Genomic DNA, 18,029 nt, shown 5'->3' with positions numbered 1-18,029 from the left:
ACTGTCCTAAAAGATGCTCCTCAGAGCCGCTGGGGCTACTATAAAGCAATTCACCTTTGAAGAAGCAGTTATTGTCGTGAAAAGAGAGCCACATTCAATATCTATGGAAATCGACCACTTTCTGGGATTTGGCAGCAGATTATTTAAGGCTTGTGATTTACTCAGTCACCTAGTGGCTTCTCATTGCCTTTGGCTGTTACATCTCAAATAATGCAAACCAACCTTCACACTAACTGACACATCCCATACAAAAGGCAAACAGGGCCAGAAACGTCAGAATGTAACACAGAGAGGTTAGTGATGATCTGATCGCAAACGCTGCCTACATGTGAGTCCCACGCCATCTTCATCTCTTTAATGGAAAAAAAATCTCATGAGTCAACTTTTTCATTGCGAGCCAATTTCAATAGCCTTTCGTCCTGTGTTTCAAAGGCGTAAGCAGTCCTATTTCTGAACAAAGTGGAAATAAAAACAAGTGACAGCCAAAGAGAGACACTGAACAATGGAGAACATACGCTTCCCAGGAGAAATGGGGGGAAGACAGGAAGGAACGCTCACATGCAATATTACCCAAACCTTTTTCCTTTGAACGATTCGGTGTTAAGCATCTCTCTGCCCTGCTTTTAGGCTGAGGGAGGAGGATGCCTCTAAGGAAATGAATCCGAAACATCAACATCGAGTCGCAGGCTGGCTAAAGCAGCCTCGGTCCTGACAGCTGTCAGCCTGCCTCTAACACTGACTCACCACAGCCACTACTTCCACGTCAGGGGCGCCTCACCTGTGCCAGCTCAGAGGCTGTTCCTGCTCAATCTGGAGGCTGGGACTCATGCCTGGCCCCTACCTAGAGAGGAATAGGACCTGGCTAGTGCCCCTGTAAAGTCTTTTTTTCCTCTTCCCCTTTTCATCTTCCCAAGTCTAATCAACCTGCAACCCAGGAAAGCACAAACCCAGGACAAGGGCGGGGGTGGGGGGCACGCACCCAGCTCCAGAACACTCAATTCTGTCCTTTGCAAGATCCTCTAAACGGGTTCAATTCTATCTGATCCAGCGGTCCTAAACTGAGCTGCTAAAACCGCATTTCCATTGCTATCCTCCCTGCAATCCTCCCCTTTGCTCACTGGCCCATCAAGAGCAGAGGGAAGACGCAGAATGGACAGGGGTGGCCACCCAGGCCAGGAAGCCCCTTTCTCTCACCCCCACCCTGCTAAGCCCCGGGAGCGGTGAGGCAGCAACTTCACACCCCGCACACACGCATGACTCGCCAATGTCTTTCCCCCGGGGTCCTTGCACCCTCTCCCCAGAATGCCCTTGCAGGAGTCCGGGGTTTCTTCTTCCCCCAAGACTGGGACACCAGCTCCATCCCAAAGCCACCTGCTGCCACCATCTGCCCCGGGGTTGGGGGCGCCTCCTCCAGGCAGCGGCCCGGGTTGCACTCATTCACGGGCGTCCGCACTGCCCCTCCGCCCGTGGGCTCCCGGCGACCTTCCCCTATTCCCTTTGCCTCCCAGCAGGCGAGGAGCCCGCGGAGAACCCCGGCCTGAGCCCTCGGCCCGCGAGGCCCCGCCCCCGCTCGCCCCGCGGACCCCTCCTCCCTCCCCGCGCCCCTCGCCCCACGGCGCTCCCAGCTGTCACCCCTCGCAGACCCCCATCCCGGGTCCCCGCCGTCCCTCCCGGGTCATCCTTCCCCTCATGAGCCTGTCAGGCCGGCCTGAGGCCACCCCACCGCACCTCTCACCGCGGGCGGACCGGGCAGCGAACCGGCGCCGTCAGACTCGGCTGCTGCGGCGACTGCGCCGCCCGCGAGCAGCCGGGTCCTTTCCCGGCGCCGCGGCGCGAGCTGTCAGTCAACCGGACGCGCCCGCCTCCAGCCCCTTCTGCGCAGGCGCGAGACGGCCCTCCCCTCGCGGGGGGCGGGAGGCGGCCAGCGCTTGGTGTCACGTGACAGGGCGGAGCCTGAGGGGCCCGAGGCCTGCCCACGCTCGGTGGGAGCGCTCTCGGGTACGCCCGGCGCCCCCTTGCTGGCTCTGCTTAGAGGCTGGGTGTTCTCGGACTCTGGGAGGAGTGGGTGGGGCAGGCCCGGTGCAAACAGGTGAGTGGGTTATTTCATGATTTAGTTGGGGGCATGGGAAGCGCCATCAGGGAGCTAGGAAATACCGTCGGATTCTAGTTGTTTCCTGGCCCTCGGTTTCCCTACCTTTAAAACAGCCGTGTCAGTTACCCTCCCTATCCCCTAGTTACGGCGAAGGCATGTTATTAACCAACATACCATTAAAATTAGTCCAGCGAGGCTTTGAGCAGGAGCTAAAAAAAATAATAATAAATAAATGGTATAAAAATTTTTCAAAAGAGATTTAAAAAAGAAAAATGTCCGGCTTGGATACTTGGTATGGAAGAGCAATCAGAGGCCAATTTACTTTTTAAAACGGGGCATCTTTGAGACTGGTAGATTCCATCTCAGCTGCTCCATAAATTCTAGGCCAGTCGGCATCTTTTCAGCAAATACAGTAAACACAACGTTCAGGCCATTCAGTTTCTTCTGTGTCTCCTCAATTAAAAGAAAAAAAGTTTTTAAAATAGAAGTGCTGCCTTTGGACGCCTTTTTAGTTGTAGAGGAAGTATAGAAACATAAACTGACAGCCCCTCCCTAGTAATGTGGGGGTTATGTCAAACTCGACTCCAGCACCTAGCAAAGTGGAGAATCTGGTTCTGGAGTATTGACTGACACCTCAAATTTTCTGAAGATATTTGTACAACTACATTCCAGTGCTATAATGCTCCTTCTGGTAGCTCCTTAAATGATCAAGCTCTGTCTCTAAAGAAATGCAGTGATATCTGAAATAGGGCTGAATGTCAATTTTAGAAAACGGTGGGTTTTCTGAAATTACGGGAGTTATGCAGGAGAAACAAGTTCTATCACTTAAGAGAAAAGATGACATATGGATCGATGATCAAGTACCTGTCCCACACCCCAAGCAGAAGTGGCAGTCCTTGGAAAGATGTAGACTTGAACTGTAGACTCCTTGGGAAAGTTTAAGGGAACACATGAAGAAAAAAGCTGGGAGCTGCAGTGCCGTGAGGGTTATGGAGCCTTCAGCACCATAGCTCCTTCTAGTACACTCCAGATTTGTTTGACCAACTGGGTGTGGCCACCATGCATGTGAAGCTGGAACTCAGGGTGTCTCCAGCTTGGTGTGAATTCAGTTTGTGTCCAATACCCCTCATTCCTTTACGTGGTTGCTACAGGCGAGTGGGTACGCTTTTGGTCTCTGCAGGTTCTGCCGTGAGTCCAGCAGGATGCAAGTGCCATCTTGTAGAATTCATGGGAATGGAGGAGGATGGATGCTGTGGCTGAATAAACTCCTTCCCTGGGTCAGCAAGTGAACCTAGCACAAGGCACCGACTTGTGCCATCCTGACCTGCCCTTGCATTACCAGCTGTTTGGGAGAATTGTAAAAAGGTGACTCATTTAGAGTCAGATTCTGTTTTAGGGGAATATCATGCAGACCCTCTCCTGACTTCGTAGAAGGTTTTCTGACCTTGTCAAAAGGTTAGAGAGAGGCAGATTACATGACCATTTTTTAAAAGAGGAAGAAAGTGAGTTCTGCAAACCACAGATCAGTGAACCTGACATTGGGCCTGGAAAATCTTCAGGGCAGATGACTTAACAAAAAAATATTTGTGACCTCTCCAAAGATGAAACAACAGTGACAAAGACCAAGTCACACTAGGTTAACCTTATTTCTTGATGTGAAATGTATAAATGTGTAAATCAAGGAAATATGGTGGAAATATATATCTGGGCCTGGAAGGTATATTTCCCAGTATTCTTTCAGTTATAGTGATGGAAACTCAATTCAAACTGGTTTTTAAAAGAGAGGGGGCCGGGCGCGGTGGCTGACGCCTGTAATCCCAGCACTTTGGGAGGTCGAGGCGGGCGGATCATGAGGTCAAGAGATTGAGACCATCCTGGCCAACATGGTGAAACCTGGTCTCTACTAAAAATACAAAGATTAGCTGGGCATGGTGGCAGGTGCCTGTAGTCCCAGCTACTCGGGAGGCTTGAGACAGGAGAATCGCTTGAACCTGGGAGGCAGAGGTTGCAGTGAGCTGAGATCGCGCCACTGCACTCCAGCCTGTCGACGGAGTGAGACTTAGTCCCCCCCCCCAAAAAAGGAATATGTTGGCAGACATAAAAGGCTCTGGGGTTGGCTCAGCAGGATCCAGGGGCACAAGTGATGTCATCAGAACTTGGTCTCTCCCACTCTTCACTGCTCCTTTGAGTTGGCTTCAGTCTCAGATTAGGCTCTTTTTTTTTTTTTAAATCATCTCACTCTGTCACCCAGGCCGGAGTGCAGTGACGCAATCTCAGCAACCTCCACCTCCTGAATTCAAGCGATTCTCTTGCCTTAGCCTCCCAAGTAGCTGGGAATGCAGGTGCGCACCGCCATGCCTGTCTAATTTTTGTATTTTTAGTAGAGATGGGGGTTTCACCATGTTGGCCAGGCTGGTCTCGAACTGCTGGCCTCAAGTGATCCACCTACCTCGGCCTCCCAAAGTGCTGGGATTACAGGCGTGAGCCACCACGCCTGGCCTCAGATTAGGTTCTTTTTACAGAGTGTCCTCCAAGAGCTCTAGGCTTATATTGTCTCAGCTTAGCAGCCCCCATGGAAAAAAGGATCTTCTCTTTCAATACTTTCAGCAAAAGCCCCAGGATTTGTTCTGAATGGACTGATGCACCTGTGTGTTCATCCCCTGGAACCAATCTCTGAGGCCAGATTGTTGGAATAACTGGATTGATCAGATCTGCACAGGAGTAGGGGTCAGCCCCACTCATACTACTTGAGTGGAGAGCAAGGGAACAGAGGCTCTTCTGAGGAAACTGAGGTGGTCTGGCCAGAACAAGGAGGGTCGTTTCTGGATAGGCAGGGAAAAGCTACAGATATCCAGGATGGAGCCTCTGCCGACATATCTCATGACATTGTACAAAGGACACGGGAAGGAGGTAGGAGAAGCAGTAAAGTTATTGGATGGCTAAATCAATATTTAAAAATATTCTGTCCGGGCACCGTGGCTCACGCCTTTAATCCCAGCACTTTGGGAGGGCAAGGTGGGCGGATCACAAGGTCAGGAGTTCAAGACCAGCCTGGCCAACATGGTGAAACCCCATCTCTACTAAAGATACAAAACATTAGCTGGGCATGGTGGCGCGTGCCTATAATCCTGCCTACTGGGTAGGCTGAGGCAGGAGAATCACTTGAACCTGGGAGGCGGAGGTTGCAGTGAGCCGAGATCGTGCCATTGCACTCTAGCCTAGGCAACAGAGCAAGACTCTGTCTCAAAAAAAAAAAAAAAAAAACAAAAAACTCTGAGACCAAGTGTGGGGCCTCATGCCTGTAATCTCAGCACTTTGGGAAGCCAAGGCGGGTGGATCATCTGAGGTCAGGAGTTTGAGACCAGCCTGGCCATCATGGTGAAACCTCATCTCTACTAAAAATACAAAAATTAGTCAAGCGTGGTGGCACATGCCTGAAATCTCAGCTACTTGGGAATCTGAGGCTGGAGAATTGCTTGAACCCGGGAGGTGGAGGTTGCAGTGAGCTGAGATCCTACCATTGCATTCCAACCTGGGCGACAGAGCGAGACTCTGTCTCAAAAAAAAATACTTTGAATAGGTTGGGTGTGATGGCTCATGCCTATAATCCCAGCACTTTGGGAGGCCGAGGCAGATCACCTGAGCTCAGGAGTTTGAGACCAGCATGGGCAACATGGTGAAACCCCGTCTCTACCAAAAATACAAAAAATTAGCTGGGCATGGTGGCGCATGCCTGTAGTCCTGGCTACTTGGAAGCCTGAGGTTAGAGGGTTGCTTGAGCCTGGGAGGTCAAGGTTGCAGTGAGCCAAGATTGTGCCGCTGCACTCCAGCCTGGGTGACAGAGGGAGACCCTGTCTCAAAAAACAAACAAAGAAATACTTTGAATAGAGGATGAGTCCAAAATACAACTATACAAAATAGCAGGTGATATGCATTAGCACCAGTTCTGTGTGTGTTTGACTACCATGCCTATTTTTCCTTTGTTTGTAACAAATCACCACAAACTTACTGGCTTAAAAACAACACAATTGGCCAGGTGTGGTGGCTTATGCCTGTAATCCCAGCACTTTGGGAGGCCGAGGCGGGTGGATCACCTGAGGTCAGGAGTTCAAGACCAGCCTGGCCAACACGGTGAAACCCTGTCTCTACTAAAAATACGAAAATTAGCCAGGCATGGTGGTACACCTGTAATTCCAGCTACTCCGGAGGTGGAGGCAGGAGAATTGCTTGAACCTGGGAGGCAGAGGTTGCAGTAAGCTGAAATTGCGCCACTGCACTCCAGCCTGGGCGACAGAGCGATACTTCGTCTCAAAAAAAAAAAAAAAAGAAAAGAAAGAAAAGAAAACCATAATATATTATCTTACAGTTCTGGAGGTCAAGTCCTAAAATTGAGGTGTCAGCAGGGCTGTGTTCCTTTCAGAGGCTCTAGGGGAGAATTGTTTGTCTTCTCTGGCTTCTAGAGGCCACCTGCATTGCATGGCTTGTGGCCCCTTCCTCTGTCTGCCTAGTCAGTCTCCTTTACTCTGGAACAGTTCCTCAGCTTTTCTTTGTCCTTTAAGACACTGATATTGACTAAGAGTGCAGGCCAGTTGTTCCATAGGATGTCCCTCCATTTAGATTTTCCTGATTGTTCCCTTATTATTAGAGGCAGGTAACACAGTTTAGCAACAGCAATTCATAGTGAAGTTGTGATCTTCTTAGTGCTTCATATCAGGAGGCACATACTGTCTATTTGTCTCATTATTGGTGATACTATGCTTGACCAATGGTGATATATTTCTCCATTGTAAAGGTACCTTTTTTCCTTTGTAAGTAATCAGAAATTTGTGGGGAAGATACTTTGAGACTATTTAGATACCCTATCTTTCAACAAACTCAATGAACTTTCAGCTAGTGGTTTAGCATCCATTAATGATAAGTCTATAGTGGTCCCCAAATGTTGAGTTGTCTTCTTCTCCTTCTTCTTATTATTAAGACAGAGTCTTACTCTTTTGCCCAGGCTGGAGTCCAGTGGCGCAATCTCAGCTCACTGCAACCTCCGCCTCCCACGTTCAAGTGATTCTCCTGCCTCAGTCTCCCAAGTAGCTGGGATTACACGCATGTGCATCATGCCTGGCTAATTTTTTTTGTATTTTTAGTAGAGTTAGGGTTTCACCATGTTGGCCAGGCTGGTCTCGAACTCCTGACCCCAAGTGATCCAACCGCCTCGGCCTCCTAAAGTGCTGGGATTACAGGTGTGAGCCACTGTGCCTGGCTGAGTTTTCTAATTCTATTGCTCCACCTACATTTATTAGTTGACATTTCCCTGTATCTGTCTTTGCCCTTTTTTTTTTTTGAGACAGAGTTTCGCTCTGTCGCCCAGGCTAGAGTGCAGTGGCGCGATCTCGGCTCACTGCAAGCTCCGCCTCCCGGGTTCACGCCATTCTCCTGCCTCAGCCTCCTGAGTAGCTGGGACTACAGGCGCCCGCCACCACGCCTGGCTAATTTTTTTTTTGTATTTTTAGTACAGACAGGGTTTCACCGTGTTGGCCAGGATGGTCCCGATCTCCTGACCTCGTGATCCAACCGCCTCGGCCTCCCAAAGTGCTGCGATTACAGGCGTGAGCCACTGCGCCCGGCCTGTCTTTGCCCTTTTCTAATCTGTCCTCCACAAAGCAGCTGGAGGGCTCTCTTTTCTCCTCTCCTCCTCCTCCCCTCCCCTCTTCTCTCTCTCCTCTCCTTATCTCCTCCTCTTTCTCTCTCTCTTGTTCTCTTTCTCTCTTTTTCTTTCTTTCTTTCTTTCACAGTCTTGCTCTGTTGCCCAGGCTGGAGTGCAGTGGCACAATCTCTGCTCACTGCAACCTCCGTCTCTTGGGTTCAAGTGATTCTCGTGCCTCAGTCTTCTGAGTAGCTGGGATTATAGGTGCATGCCACCATGCCCAGCTATTTTTTTGTATTTGTTTTTCTTTAGTAGAGACAAGGTTTCACTGTGTTGGCCAGGCTGGTCTCAAACTCCTGGCCGCAGTTGATCCACCTGCCTCAGCCTCCCAAAGCTCTGGGATTATAGGTGTGAGCCACCACGCCTGGCTTTTTTTTTTTTTTTTTTGGATGGAGTCTCGCTCTGTCACCAGGCTGGAGTGCAGTGGCATAATCTTGGCTCACTGCAATCTCCGCCTCCTGGGTTCAAACGATTCTTCTGCCTCAGCCTCCTGAATAGCTGGGACTAAAGGTGTGCGCCACCACACCCAACTAATTTTTGTATTTTTAGTACAGACAAGGTTTTACCATGTTGGCCAGGATGGTCTCCATCTCTTGACCTTGTGATCCGCCCACCTCGGCCTCCCAAAGTGCTGGGATTACAGGTGTGAGCCACTGTGCACCCCCCCCTTTTTTAATTTTTAATTTTTTTTTAAGAGAGGGTCTTGCTCTGTCACTTAGGCTGGAGTGCAGTGGTGTGATCACGGCTTACTGCAGCCTTGACCTCCTGGGCTCAAGCGATCCTCCCACCTCAGCCTCCTGAGTAGCTGGCACTACAGGTGTGTGCCACCTTAACTGGCTAATTTTTGTATTTTTTGTTGAGATGGGGACTCACTATGTTGCCCAGACTGGTCTCAAACTTCTGGGCTCAGGTAATCCTCCCCGCTCAGCCTCCCAAAATGCTGGGATTACAGATGTGAGCTTCTGTGCCTGGCCTGGAGTGACCTTTAAAAACCACAAATGTGCTCCAGTCCTTCAGTGGCTTTCCTCTGCCCCTCACATATGCCAGCGTCCTTCACCTGTTGCTAGGGCCCAGCATGACCTGGCCCTTCCAAGCTTTCTGTGTGGTCTCGAACCGCTTCCCCTTGCCCTCCACACACTGACCCTCGCAGGGCCTTAAAGAATCCATGCTCCTTTCTACTGTAGGACCTGCCTGCGTGTCCCTTTGCCCAGAACCCACTTCCTTTGACCTCAAGCTCCTTTGCTCAACAAATATCCATGTCTTTCACATGTCACATCCTAAAGGAATCCCTGCATGTGACCTCCAGACCAAGTCAGAGTCCTGGGTGTATCATCTCAGCAAATAATATCATCTTCCTCCACAGAAACACGTTTGCAATTATGCATTTGTGAAAATGGACTCTAAGCTCCATAACAGGCAGGAGCTTTGCCTAGCTTTGCTCACTCATGTGTCTGCAGCACTTAGCATGGTACCAGGTACACTTGTTGAATGAATAAATATGAGTTTAAAACCAGGATCGCAGGGAGAAGGTAGACAAGATGAGGACTGGGTTATTGTAGCCTGAGGACAAATGGGCAGGGGCTTGCTTCTGAAGGACTCAGTGGATGTGGTCATGGTACCCACTGTAGGAGACCCGTGCCTAAGGCAAGCCCTCGAGGAGGCTGGCTTGGCACAGAGCTAGGATTGTGGGCTCTTTCCAGAGGGGTGTGGCGCAGCCGAAACGGCAGAGCTTTCATAGCCTAGTGTTGCTCACCTGCCAGCTGGCTCTGCTCCTGTACTTCATTTGGTCAATGGCTTACATCTGACTCTCAGTTTCTGCAGCTGTACAAAGAGATTTCACAGGGTGGTGAGGATGAAGTGAGTCTACGAGGGGGTATAACAGCAGCTAAGAAGTTCAAGGCACATTTGGGGCGGCATCCTGGCTCTCCACCTCTTCACTGTGTGACCGGGAGCACACTGCTCAACCTCTCTGGTCCTGTTTGTCTAGAAAAGGGACCAATCATAGTGAGTTCACTCATTCATTCAGTGCAGATCTATTGAATGACTACTTTTTCAAAAGTTTTTATTATTTATTTATTGGAGACAGAGTCTTGCTCTGTCACCCAGGCTGGTGTGTAGAGGCACAATCTCGGCTCACTGTAACCTCTGCCTCCTGGGCACAGAGCCATTCTTCTGCCTCAGCCTCCTGGGTAGCTGGGATTACAGGTGCCTGCCACCACGCCCGGCTATTTTTGCATTTTTAGTAGAGACGGGGTTTCACCATATTGGCCAGGCTGGTCTCGAACTCCTGACCTCAGGTGATCTGCCCGCCTCAGCCTCTTAAAAGTGCTGGGATTACAGACCTGAGCCACCGTACCTGGCCAGATGACTACTTCTTTTTAGAGGCAGGGTCTCACTCTGTTGCCCAGGCTGGCATGCAGTGGCTATTCACATGAGTGCCTACTTTTGGACAGGCAGTGGGGACACAGTGAACAACACCAACAAAACCCCCTGCCTTTTGTGAGGCTTGCATTCCGATGAGGAATAGTCAACGGGGTAAGTGAAGGATACAGGTGAGACGTGAGATGTGGCAAGGAGTAAACCAGGGAAGGGAAACGAAATACGTTGCAGGAATGCGAGGGAGGGAGAAATTTTACATGGGGGACCGGGGAGGAAAACACTTTCTGAGTCAAGTCCTAACAGCCACGAGAGAATGAGCATGGACGACCTTGGTCACGCTTGGCACTCAGTGAGTGGCCCACACAAGGCTTTGCCAAGCACCCTACCTCCAATTCCAGACCTGCTCCACCTACAGCGGAGGTGAGGTGGCCTGCAGAAAAGGAATTCAGGGACACGTCACCCTCTTCGGGTTTAAACATCTACCACAGGTTGTGGAATTTCAGTCTTCTGGCTTTCCTAGCATGGCTGTTGAACTCAACACCACAAACTCGGTGGGAAAAATAAGAACCCAAACACCCGTCCGGAACAAGTCTCTGATTTTCCACTGCATAACCTTTGCGAGTTTCTCTCTCTCCCTGCCAGCATCTACTTGAAATAGAGAAGACACCAGCTGGGCGCAGTGGCTCATGCCTGTAATCTCAGCACTTTGGGAGGCCAAGGTGGGCGGATCACCTGACAGGGTTGGGAGTTTGAGACCAGCCTGACCAACATGGAGATACCCCGTCTCTACTAAAAATACAAAATGAGCCGGGCGTGGTGGCACTTGCCTGTAATCCCAGCTACCAGGGAGGCTGAGGCAGGAGAATTGCTTAAACCTGGGAGATGGAGGTTGCGGTGAGCTGAGATCGTGCCATTGCACTCTAGCCTGGGCAACAAGAGTAAAACTCTGTCTTAAAAAAAAAAAAAGAATACAAATAAGTGTACATAACTGAATGAATTTTTACCTAATGAACATCCGTATAACCAGCAGCCAGACCAAGAGATTGAATATTACTAGCACCCTGCCCCCCACGCTCCCTTCCCTTCAGTGAGAATCACTGCCTTGCCCTGTCTTCCTACACCGAAGATCAGTTTTGCCTCTTTTTATTATATTGCATGTACTCTTTTGTGTCTTCCTGCTTTTACTCAACATTATGAGACAAGAATAATCCAGGGTGGCCACAGGAGAATTAAATTCTGGGCAGTAGTTTCACATGACTAGAGGCTATGGACTTATAAGACCCTGAAACCCAGGATGTGGGTCAAACTGGCTGAGACCAACTGGACCCAACATGGCACTGGATGTGACCAGGTTTCTCCTAGGACCTCAATATACACTCATTAATATCCTAAACACACACCCACCCGTGTCTCGACAGTTCCAAGAACACCCAGGTTTGATGTAAAAATGGGTGGCACCACAGTTCCAAGAAATCTCCACCTTTTCCCAGGAATGTTCATGAATATCCCAGTCCTTGGTTAAAGAAACCTATAGAGGTAGCAACCTCAAACCCCCTTACACGTGACTTTTGAGTCCGCCCGCATTCCCTTGAGTGTGTACTTTTCCCTTTGCAATAAATCACTGTGCTTTCACTATTTTCTGACTTATCCTTAAATTCCTTCTCACGACAGTGTCAAGAGCCTGGACACCAGCTGGGGTTGAGGTCCCATTGGTGTTTGGGGATCTCTCCCAGCCCACGGGTATCAATTATATTTGTGAGATTGATTCATGTTGTTGGGTGTCGCATGTATGTGTATTGTCGTTGTGGCACAGTATTTCATTGCACAAATACGCCACAATTTATTCATTCTGTTCATGGACATTTAGGTTGTTTCAAGTTTGGGGCTATTATGGATGGTACTGTATGAATGAACATTCTAGTAGAAGTCTCTTGGTGAGCATAGGATGTGCATGTTCAGTTTGAGCAGCTCCTCCTGTGAGTTGTCCAGGGCAGTTAAACAATTACACTCTCACCAGCAGTGTGCGGAAGTTCGGTTGTTCCGCGTTTGGCCAACCCTTGGTGGTGTTTCATTCTAGCCATTCTAGTGGGTGTCTGGATACTATTTCATTGTGGTTTAAGTTTTCATTTCCCTGATGACTAATGAGAATGAGCACTTTCATATCTTTCAGATATTCTCTTTTGTAAAGTATGTTCAGTGTTTTGCCAATTATTCTATTGGGTTGTCTTATTTATTTGTAATTACATTTTTACATAAATTTTTTCATGTATGTAAAAATGAATACATGCTCATGATTAAAAAATTGAACAAGTTGGCCGGTGCGGTGGCTCATGCCTGTAATCCCAGCACTTGGGAGGCTGAGGCAGGGGAGTCGCTTGAACCTAGGAGGCAGAGGTTGCAATGAGCCAAGATCACACCATTCCACTCCAGCCTGGGCAATAAGGGTGAAAACTCCATCTCAAAAAAAAAGCAAAAGAAAAAAGAAATCAAGTCTAATCTCATATTTTAGAGATTATTTTTGTATAAAGCTGAGGCATACAAAGGGGAAATGACTGGCAGAAGACCACATATCACTTCCGTTGAGAAACAGATGAAGATCCTTGATAAGAATGGAATTATTTTTGTCCACTGCTGGCATCTCTGTTAAGTATTTTAACGAGACAGGTGTGGTGGCTCATGCCTGTAATCCCAGCACTTTGGGAGGCTGAGGTGAGAGGATCGCTTGAGTTCAAGACTAGCCTGGGCAATATAGTGAGAACATGGCCATCACCCTCAATCTTTAAAAAAAAAAAAAAATTAACCAGGTGTGGTGGCCGGCAGCTGTAATCTCAGCTACTTGGGAGGCTGAGGCAAAGGATCACTTGAGCCAAGGAGTTCGAGGCTGCAGTGAGTTATAACAGGGCTACTGCACTCCAGCCTGGGCAACAGAGCAAGACCTTGTCTCTCTCACCAAACAAAGATTTTAATAAATGATTTGATTTTTTAATTTCTTTTAGCAAGGGTACAATTTTACGCAAGCTATACCAGTAACTAAAAGCACAGGCAATGCAAATATAAAAGAACATTTCAGGACTGTAAGCCAAAAATAAAATTTTTGGCCAGGTGTGCTGGCGCATGCCTATAATCCTAACAGTTTGGGAGGCTGAGGTGGAAGGATCACGTGAGCTCAGGAGTTTGAGACCAGCCTGGGCAACATAGTGAGACCTCATCTGTATAAATTTAAATAATAATAATAAAATTTAAAAAGTTAAAAAAATAAAATTCTAAGCCCCCCAACCAACTGAATGGGCCCTTCCTCTTGGCCAAGGGCATTACAAAGCTCACCTGAAAAACTAGTTTAGGCCATGACGTGGTTGGGGGGGTGGAAATGCCTCACTATATATAATCCCTCCTCCTGTTGGAATTTAGGCACAGCTGACCAGAACTAACATTGAAACAGAGATCTTAAGACTGATGAAGAAACAGACTTTTTGTCATATGACACCAAATTCCAGCCTGACTCTATTATAGCATCACATGACAGATAGCAGGCCCTGAGAGAAATCAAAGTATATTTCTTTTTCTTTTTCTTTTTTTTTTTTGAGATAGGATCTTGTTCTGTCTCCCTAGCTGGAGTGCAGTGGTGGGATGATCAGCCTCAACTTCCTGGGCTCAAGCAGTCCTCCCACTTCAACCCCCTTGAGGAGCTGGGACTACAGGGATACGCCACCACGCCCAGCCAATTTTTAAATTTTTGTAGACAGGGTGTCATTACATTTCTCAGGCTGGTCTCAAACTGGCCTCAAGCTATCCTCCTGCCTTGGCCCCCCAGTATGCTGGGATTGCAAGCGTGAGCAACCGTGCCTGGCCCAAAGTATATTTATTTGACATATTTGGAAATGGCCCTGCAAAGCTGTCTCCTGTGGGGAAAGTCTACATTCTGTTGAGAATCCCCTTTTCTATTCAGGTGTTTTTCTTGATCCAGGAGATAATTTACTAAGAATCTGGCACCTTTCTTAGGTCTGTTAAGAGCTGTGAGGCCGTGCGTGGTGGCTCACATCTGTAATCCCAGCACTTTGGGAAGACGAGGTGGGTGGATCGCCTGAGGTCAGGAGTTCGAGACCAGCCTGGCCAACATGATGAAACCTCGTCTCTACTAAAAATACAAAAAATTAGCTGGGCATGGTGGTGGGCGCCTGTAATCCCAGCTACTTGGGAGGCTGAGGCAGGAGAATCGCTTGAACCTGGGACGCGGAGGTTGCACTGAGCTGAGATTGCGACATTGCACTCCAGCCTGGGTGACAAGCGTGAAACTCCATCTCAGAAAAAAAAAAAAAACAACAAAACTCCTAAGCCTGCTACTTGGAGGCTTCACATTGATGAAACCAAAGTCTCCACAACCCCTTAACTGACACATTCCTTTCTATTGGCTCCAGGTCTTTAGATAATAACTCTGCCAACTAATTGCCAATGAGAAAATCTTTGAATCTGCCTGTGACCTGGAAGCACCCCTCCCCCAACCTCACGACATTATTTCAGTTGTCCCACCTTTCCAGACTGAACCAATGTACATCTTACACGTATTCATTGATGTTTTGTCTCCCTAAAATGTCAAAAACCAAACTGTGACCCAACCACCTTGGGAATGTTCTCAGAATCCCCTGGGGCTGTGTCCTAGGCCATTGGTCACTCATATGTGGATCAGAATAAATCTCTTCAAATATTTCACAGAGTTTGTCTCTTTGGCTCTTTTTGTCAACAGTACCCTCTAAATTTGTCAAGGGGTAAGTTAAGCCCTGGAGACTGGATCATGTAGCATGTTTGCAACTTCCACTTCTTACACTGTAGGTTAACTCCCTTCCTCGCTGTTCTTGTTCTGTAGTTGACTAGGAGAGACCTCCTCCCCTTCCAATCACTAATCTTTGTTACAGATTAACTGCCTTCTTTATTGTCCTGTACCTAACTCAACACCAGATGCCACAAAGACTCTATGGCTGTCACACCTTCACTGTGGAATGTTAAATAAACCTTTTCTAAAAAAAAGAGCACCTTGACGAATCAGATTGTTGTAACTGTGCATTAAGCCTGCTATAGAAAGATGTTGAAATTCTGTTAAGCTTCCCTAAACTATTTCTCTATAAACGATCCCCAAACTTCTACACTCCATACAGTGACTTCCATGCTTTGAAATCTATACTTCTCAGGTGGCCATCCTGAAACTTTGAGCTTGAATAAACTCTCTTTAGATTCCAATCCTTTTGATTATTTTGGGTTGACAAAAGTGTGGGGACTAAGAATTATGTGGTGAGGATCCCTCCACTCCTCATTTTTTGAGAAAACTTTAAAATGGGCGCAAAGATTATTGGGTGTGTAGGGGAGGAAAAGAAAACTCCTTATCTCTATCTACCCTTTTACATTCTTGGTTGGGGTCCCTGTAACAAAGACAAATTAGGCTGAGTGCAGTGGCTCACACCTGTAATCCCAGCACTTTGGGAGGCCAAGGTGGGTGGATTACCTGAGGTCAGGAGTTGCAGACCAGCCTGGCCAACATAGTGAAACCCCGTCTCTACTAAAAATACAAAAATTAGCCAGGTGTGATGGTGGGTGCCTGTAATCCCAGCTACTTGGGAGGCTGAGGCAGGAGAATTGCTTGAACCCAGGAGATGAGGTTGCAGCGAGCTGAGATCACACCACTGCACTCCAGCCTGGGAAACAGTGCGAGAGTCTATCTCAAAAACAAAACAAAACAAAAAAACACAAATTAATAAGAGAAAAACAGAAGTTTATTAACATGTACATCTCATATATTCATAAGAGAAACTTGGGAAAGAGTAACTCGAAGAGGTAGCTTGGAATGTGGTTTCACATAGTACCTTCGACAAAGAATAATACCTTTGGCCGGGCGTGGTGGCTCATGCCTACAATCCCAGCACTTTGGGAGGCCAAGGTGGGTGGATCACTTGCAGTCAGGAGTTCAAGACCAGCCTGGCCAACATGGCAAAACCCTATCTTTACTAAAAATACAAAAATTAGCCGGACGTGGTGGCGGGCCCCTGTAATTCCAGCTACTCAGGAGGTTGAGGCAGGAGAATTGCTTAAACCCCGGAAGTGGAGGTTACAGTGAGCTGAGATTGCACCACTGCACTCCAGCCTGGGAGACAGAGCGAGACTCCATCTCAAAGTAAAATAATAATAATAATAATAAAAGAACAATACTTTTGTAGAGAAATGACAGGACAAAGGAGTTTTGAGCTTCCAAAAGTGGCAAACTATGGAAAGGTTTATATATGGGAAGAAACTTAATAGAGTAAGGTTTGTTTGCAGATTCCTTTGGTGCCCTCTCTGGGCTAAGAAGAGTCTAGAATGTCCAGTAAAGGTGAATTTACACCTGCCCTTTAGGCAGAAAAGGGAGGATAAAGAGAACTTTTCCTGCATTTGTCGCTTCTTAATTGCCTTCAGCTGAAAATAATTTTTCTGTCGAAGAGGCATATTTTGCGGTGATATATTCTGGTTTTTTCTTTTTCTTTTTTCATTGAGATGGAGTCTCGCTGTCACCCAGGTTGGAGTGCAATGGCGCGATCTCGGCCCACTGCAACCTCTGCCTCCCGGTTCTCAAGCGGTTTCTCCTGCCTCAGCCTCCCGAGTAGCTGAGATTACAGGCGCCCAAAACTGCACCCGGCTAATTTTTGTATTTTTAGTAGAGATGGGGTTTCGCCACGTTGACCAGGATAGTTTCGAACTCCTGACCTCAGGTGATCTGCCTGCCTCGGCCTCCTACAAGTGCTGGGATTACAGATGTGAGCCACCACACCTGGCCTTATTCTGGTTTTCTTTAGGTGTCTTCATTGAACAAGTAGGTATTGTCTGGCATACCCTTCTGGGTTATCTCGTCTTATGGGGTCTTACTTTTGTCTTTAAGCTATCTAGAGCTCTAGTGGAGCATTGTATATATACCATCATTAATGAGTTAAATGGTATCTTTGACATATGTTCATTTTATATTTGTGTGAGAGTCATAATTTTATTTTAAAAAAAAGATATGCTTTTTTTTTTTTTTTGAGACTGTTCACTCTGTCGCCCAGGCTGGAGTGCAGTGGCTTGATCTCAGCTCACTGCAACCTTCGCCTCCTGGGTTCATGATTCTCCTGCCTCAGCCTCTCGAGTAGCTGCTGGGATTACAGGCGTGCACCACTACATCCGGCTAATTTATGTGTTTTTAATAGAAACGGAATTTCACCATTGTTGTTCAGGCTGGTCTCGAACTCCTGACCTCAAGTGATCAGCCTGCCTTGGCTTCCCAAAGTGCTGGAGTTACAGGCGTGAGCCACCGCGCCCGGCCTTAAAATACATGTTCCTACTTTCAAACACTTAGGGCTTCCTATATGGAAGGGACAGTGGCGGTGCTCTAGTGTCCAAGTCCCTCAAGGAGGAGGCCGGGGGCTCCGCGGACCTCAGGAGTCAGGCCTCCAATCCCCAGTTCAGGGCGCTTTCCTCTTTTCCCAAGTGCTTTCTGGCTCAGCCATTTCCACTCCCGCTCCCTTACTTTCCCATTTCCTTCGGTCACATCCCCGCATATAGTACAGGCCACTGGAGCTGCCTCTGAGACACCGCCGCGGGCGCGGGTACACACTCCGCTAAGGGCATTCCCAACCCGGTTCCGCAGCCTAACGGCGTGGCTTGGACCCTGCTGCAGCCCGTAGCCCCTATCCTTTCTCCTCCGGACTTCAGTTTGGCGGCATCTCTGTCTTAGCGAGAGGGGCTGTGACTAAAAGCTGCCTTTTCTCAATGAACTGCCAGTTTGTAAGAGCCTCCGGGTCCCCTCAAACCGCCTCGAGCGCCCCTCTCCGCGAGAGCTGCGCGGCCGGAACTGCGCCGGCGTGA

The 18,029-nt window shown here is 48.2% G+C and overlaps 2 protein-coding genes across 8 annotated transcripts in view, besides 5 other annotated features; one reads left to right on the top strand and one right to left on the bottom strand.

Moving 5' to 3' along the window:
• KIAA0513 overlaps window positions 1-1,792 on the bottom strand; it is a 66,436-nt gene extending 64,644 nt beyond the window's left edge. For 3 of the 6 annotated variants that reach the window (XM_047434984.1, NM_014732.4, NM_001297766.2), the window contains exon 1: window positions 1,736-1,792. The gene's annotated coding sequence lies outside the window, so the exon portion shown is untranslated. Of the gene's footprint in view, window positions 1-778; window positions 1,394-1,728 lie in introns of those variants that run through there. The other 3 variants (NM_001388359.1, NM_001286566.2, XM_047434982.1) reach the window with 2 other exon arrangements.
• Window positions 51-110: an enhancer, noted in NCBI's record as "active region_11258". NCBI's record gives its function as "activates an Ori minimal core promoter by ATAC-STARR-seq in GM12878 lymphoblastoid cells {active_cell/tissue: GM12878}" and the evidence as "EXISTENCE:reporter gene assay evidence [ECO:0000049][PMID:35858748]".
• Window positions 1,435-1,504: a silencer, noted in NCBI's record as "silent region_7798". NCBI's record gives its function as "represses an Ori minimal core promoter by ATAC-STARR-seq in GM12878 lymphoblastoid cells {active_cell/tissue: GM12878}" and the evidence as "EXISTENCE:reporter gene assay evidence [ECO:0000049][PMID:35858748]".
• Window positions 1,705-2,084: a silencer, noted in NCBI's record as "silent region_7797". NCBI's record gives its function as "represses an Ori minimal core promoter by ATAC-STARR-seq in GM12878 lymphoblastoid cells {active_cell/tissue: GM12878}" and the evidence as "EXISTENCE:reporter gene assay evidence [ECO:0000049][PMID:35858748]".
• ZDHHC7 (zDHHC palmitoyltransferase 7) overlaps window positions 1,956-18,029 on the top strand; it is a 53,457-nt gene continuing 37,383 nt past the window's right edge. For both annotated transcript variants that reach the window (XM_047434355.1, XM_047434352.1), the window contains exon 1: window positions 1,956-2,089. The gene's annotated coding sequence lies outside the window, so the exon portion shown is untranslated. The remainder of the gene's footprint in view (window positions 2,090-18,029) is intronic.
• Window positions 12,313-12,362: an enhancer, noted in NCBI's record as "active region_11257". NCBI's record gives its function as "activates an Ori minimal core promoter by ATAC-STARR-seq in GM12878 lymphoblastoid cells {active_cell/tissue: GM12878}" and the evidence as "EXISTENCE:reporter gene assay evidence [ECO:0000049][PMID:35858748]".
• Window positions 17,149-17,905: an enhancer, noted in NCBI's record as "H3K27ac hESC enhancer chr16:85045288-85046044 (GRCh37/hg19 assembly coordinates)". NCBI's record gives its function as "activates a minimal SCP1, AML or CMV promoter by ChIP-STARR-seq in naive H9 embryonic stem cells {active_cell/tissue: H9 hESC(naive)}" and the evidence as "EXISTENCE:reporter gene assay evidence [ECO:0000049][PMID:30033119]".

Source organism: Homo sapiens, chromosome 16 (genome assembly GCF_000001405.40).
Source record: "Homo sapiens chromosome 16, GRCh38.p14 Primary Assembly".
In the NCBI taxonomy this organism is placed as follows: Eukaryota; Metazoa; Chordata; class Mammalia; order Primates; family Hominidae; genus Homo; species Homo sapiens.
Note: the sequence above shows the minus strand (reverse complement) of the source record. Positions and strands in the feature narration are given on the sequence as shown.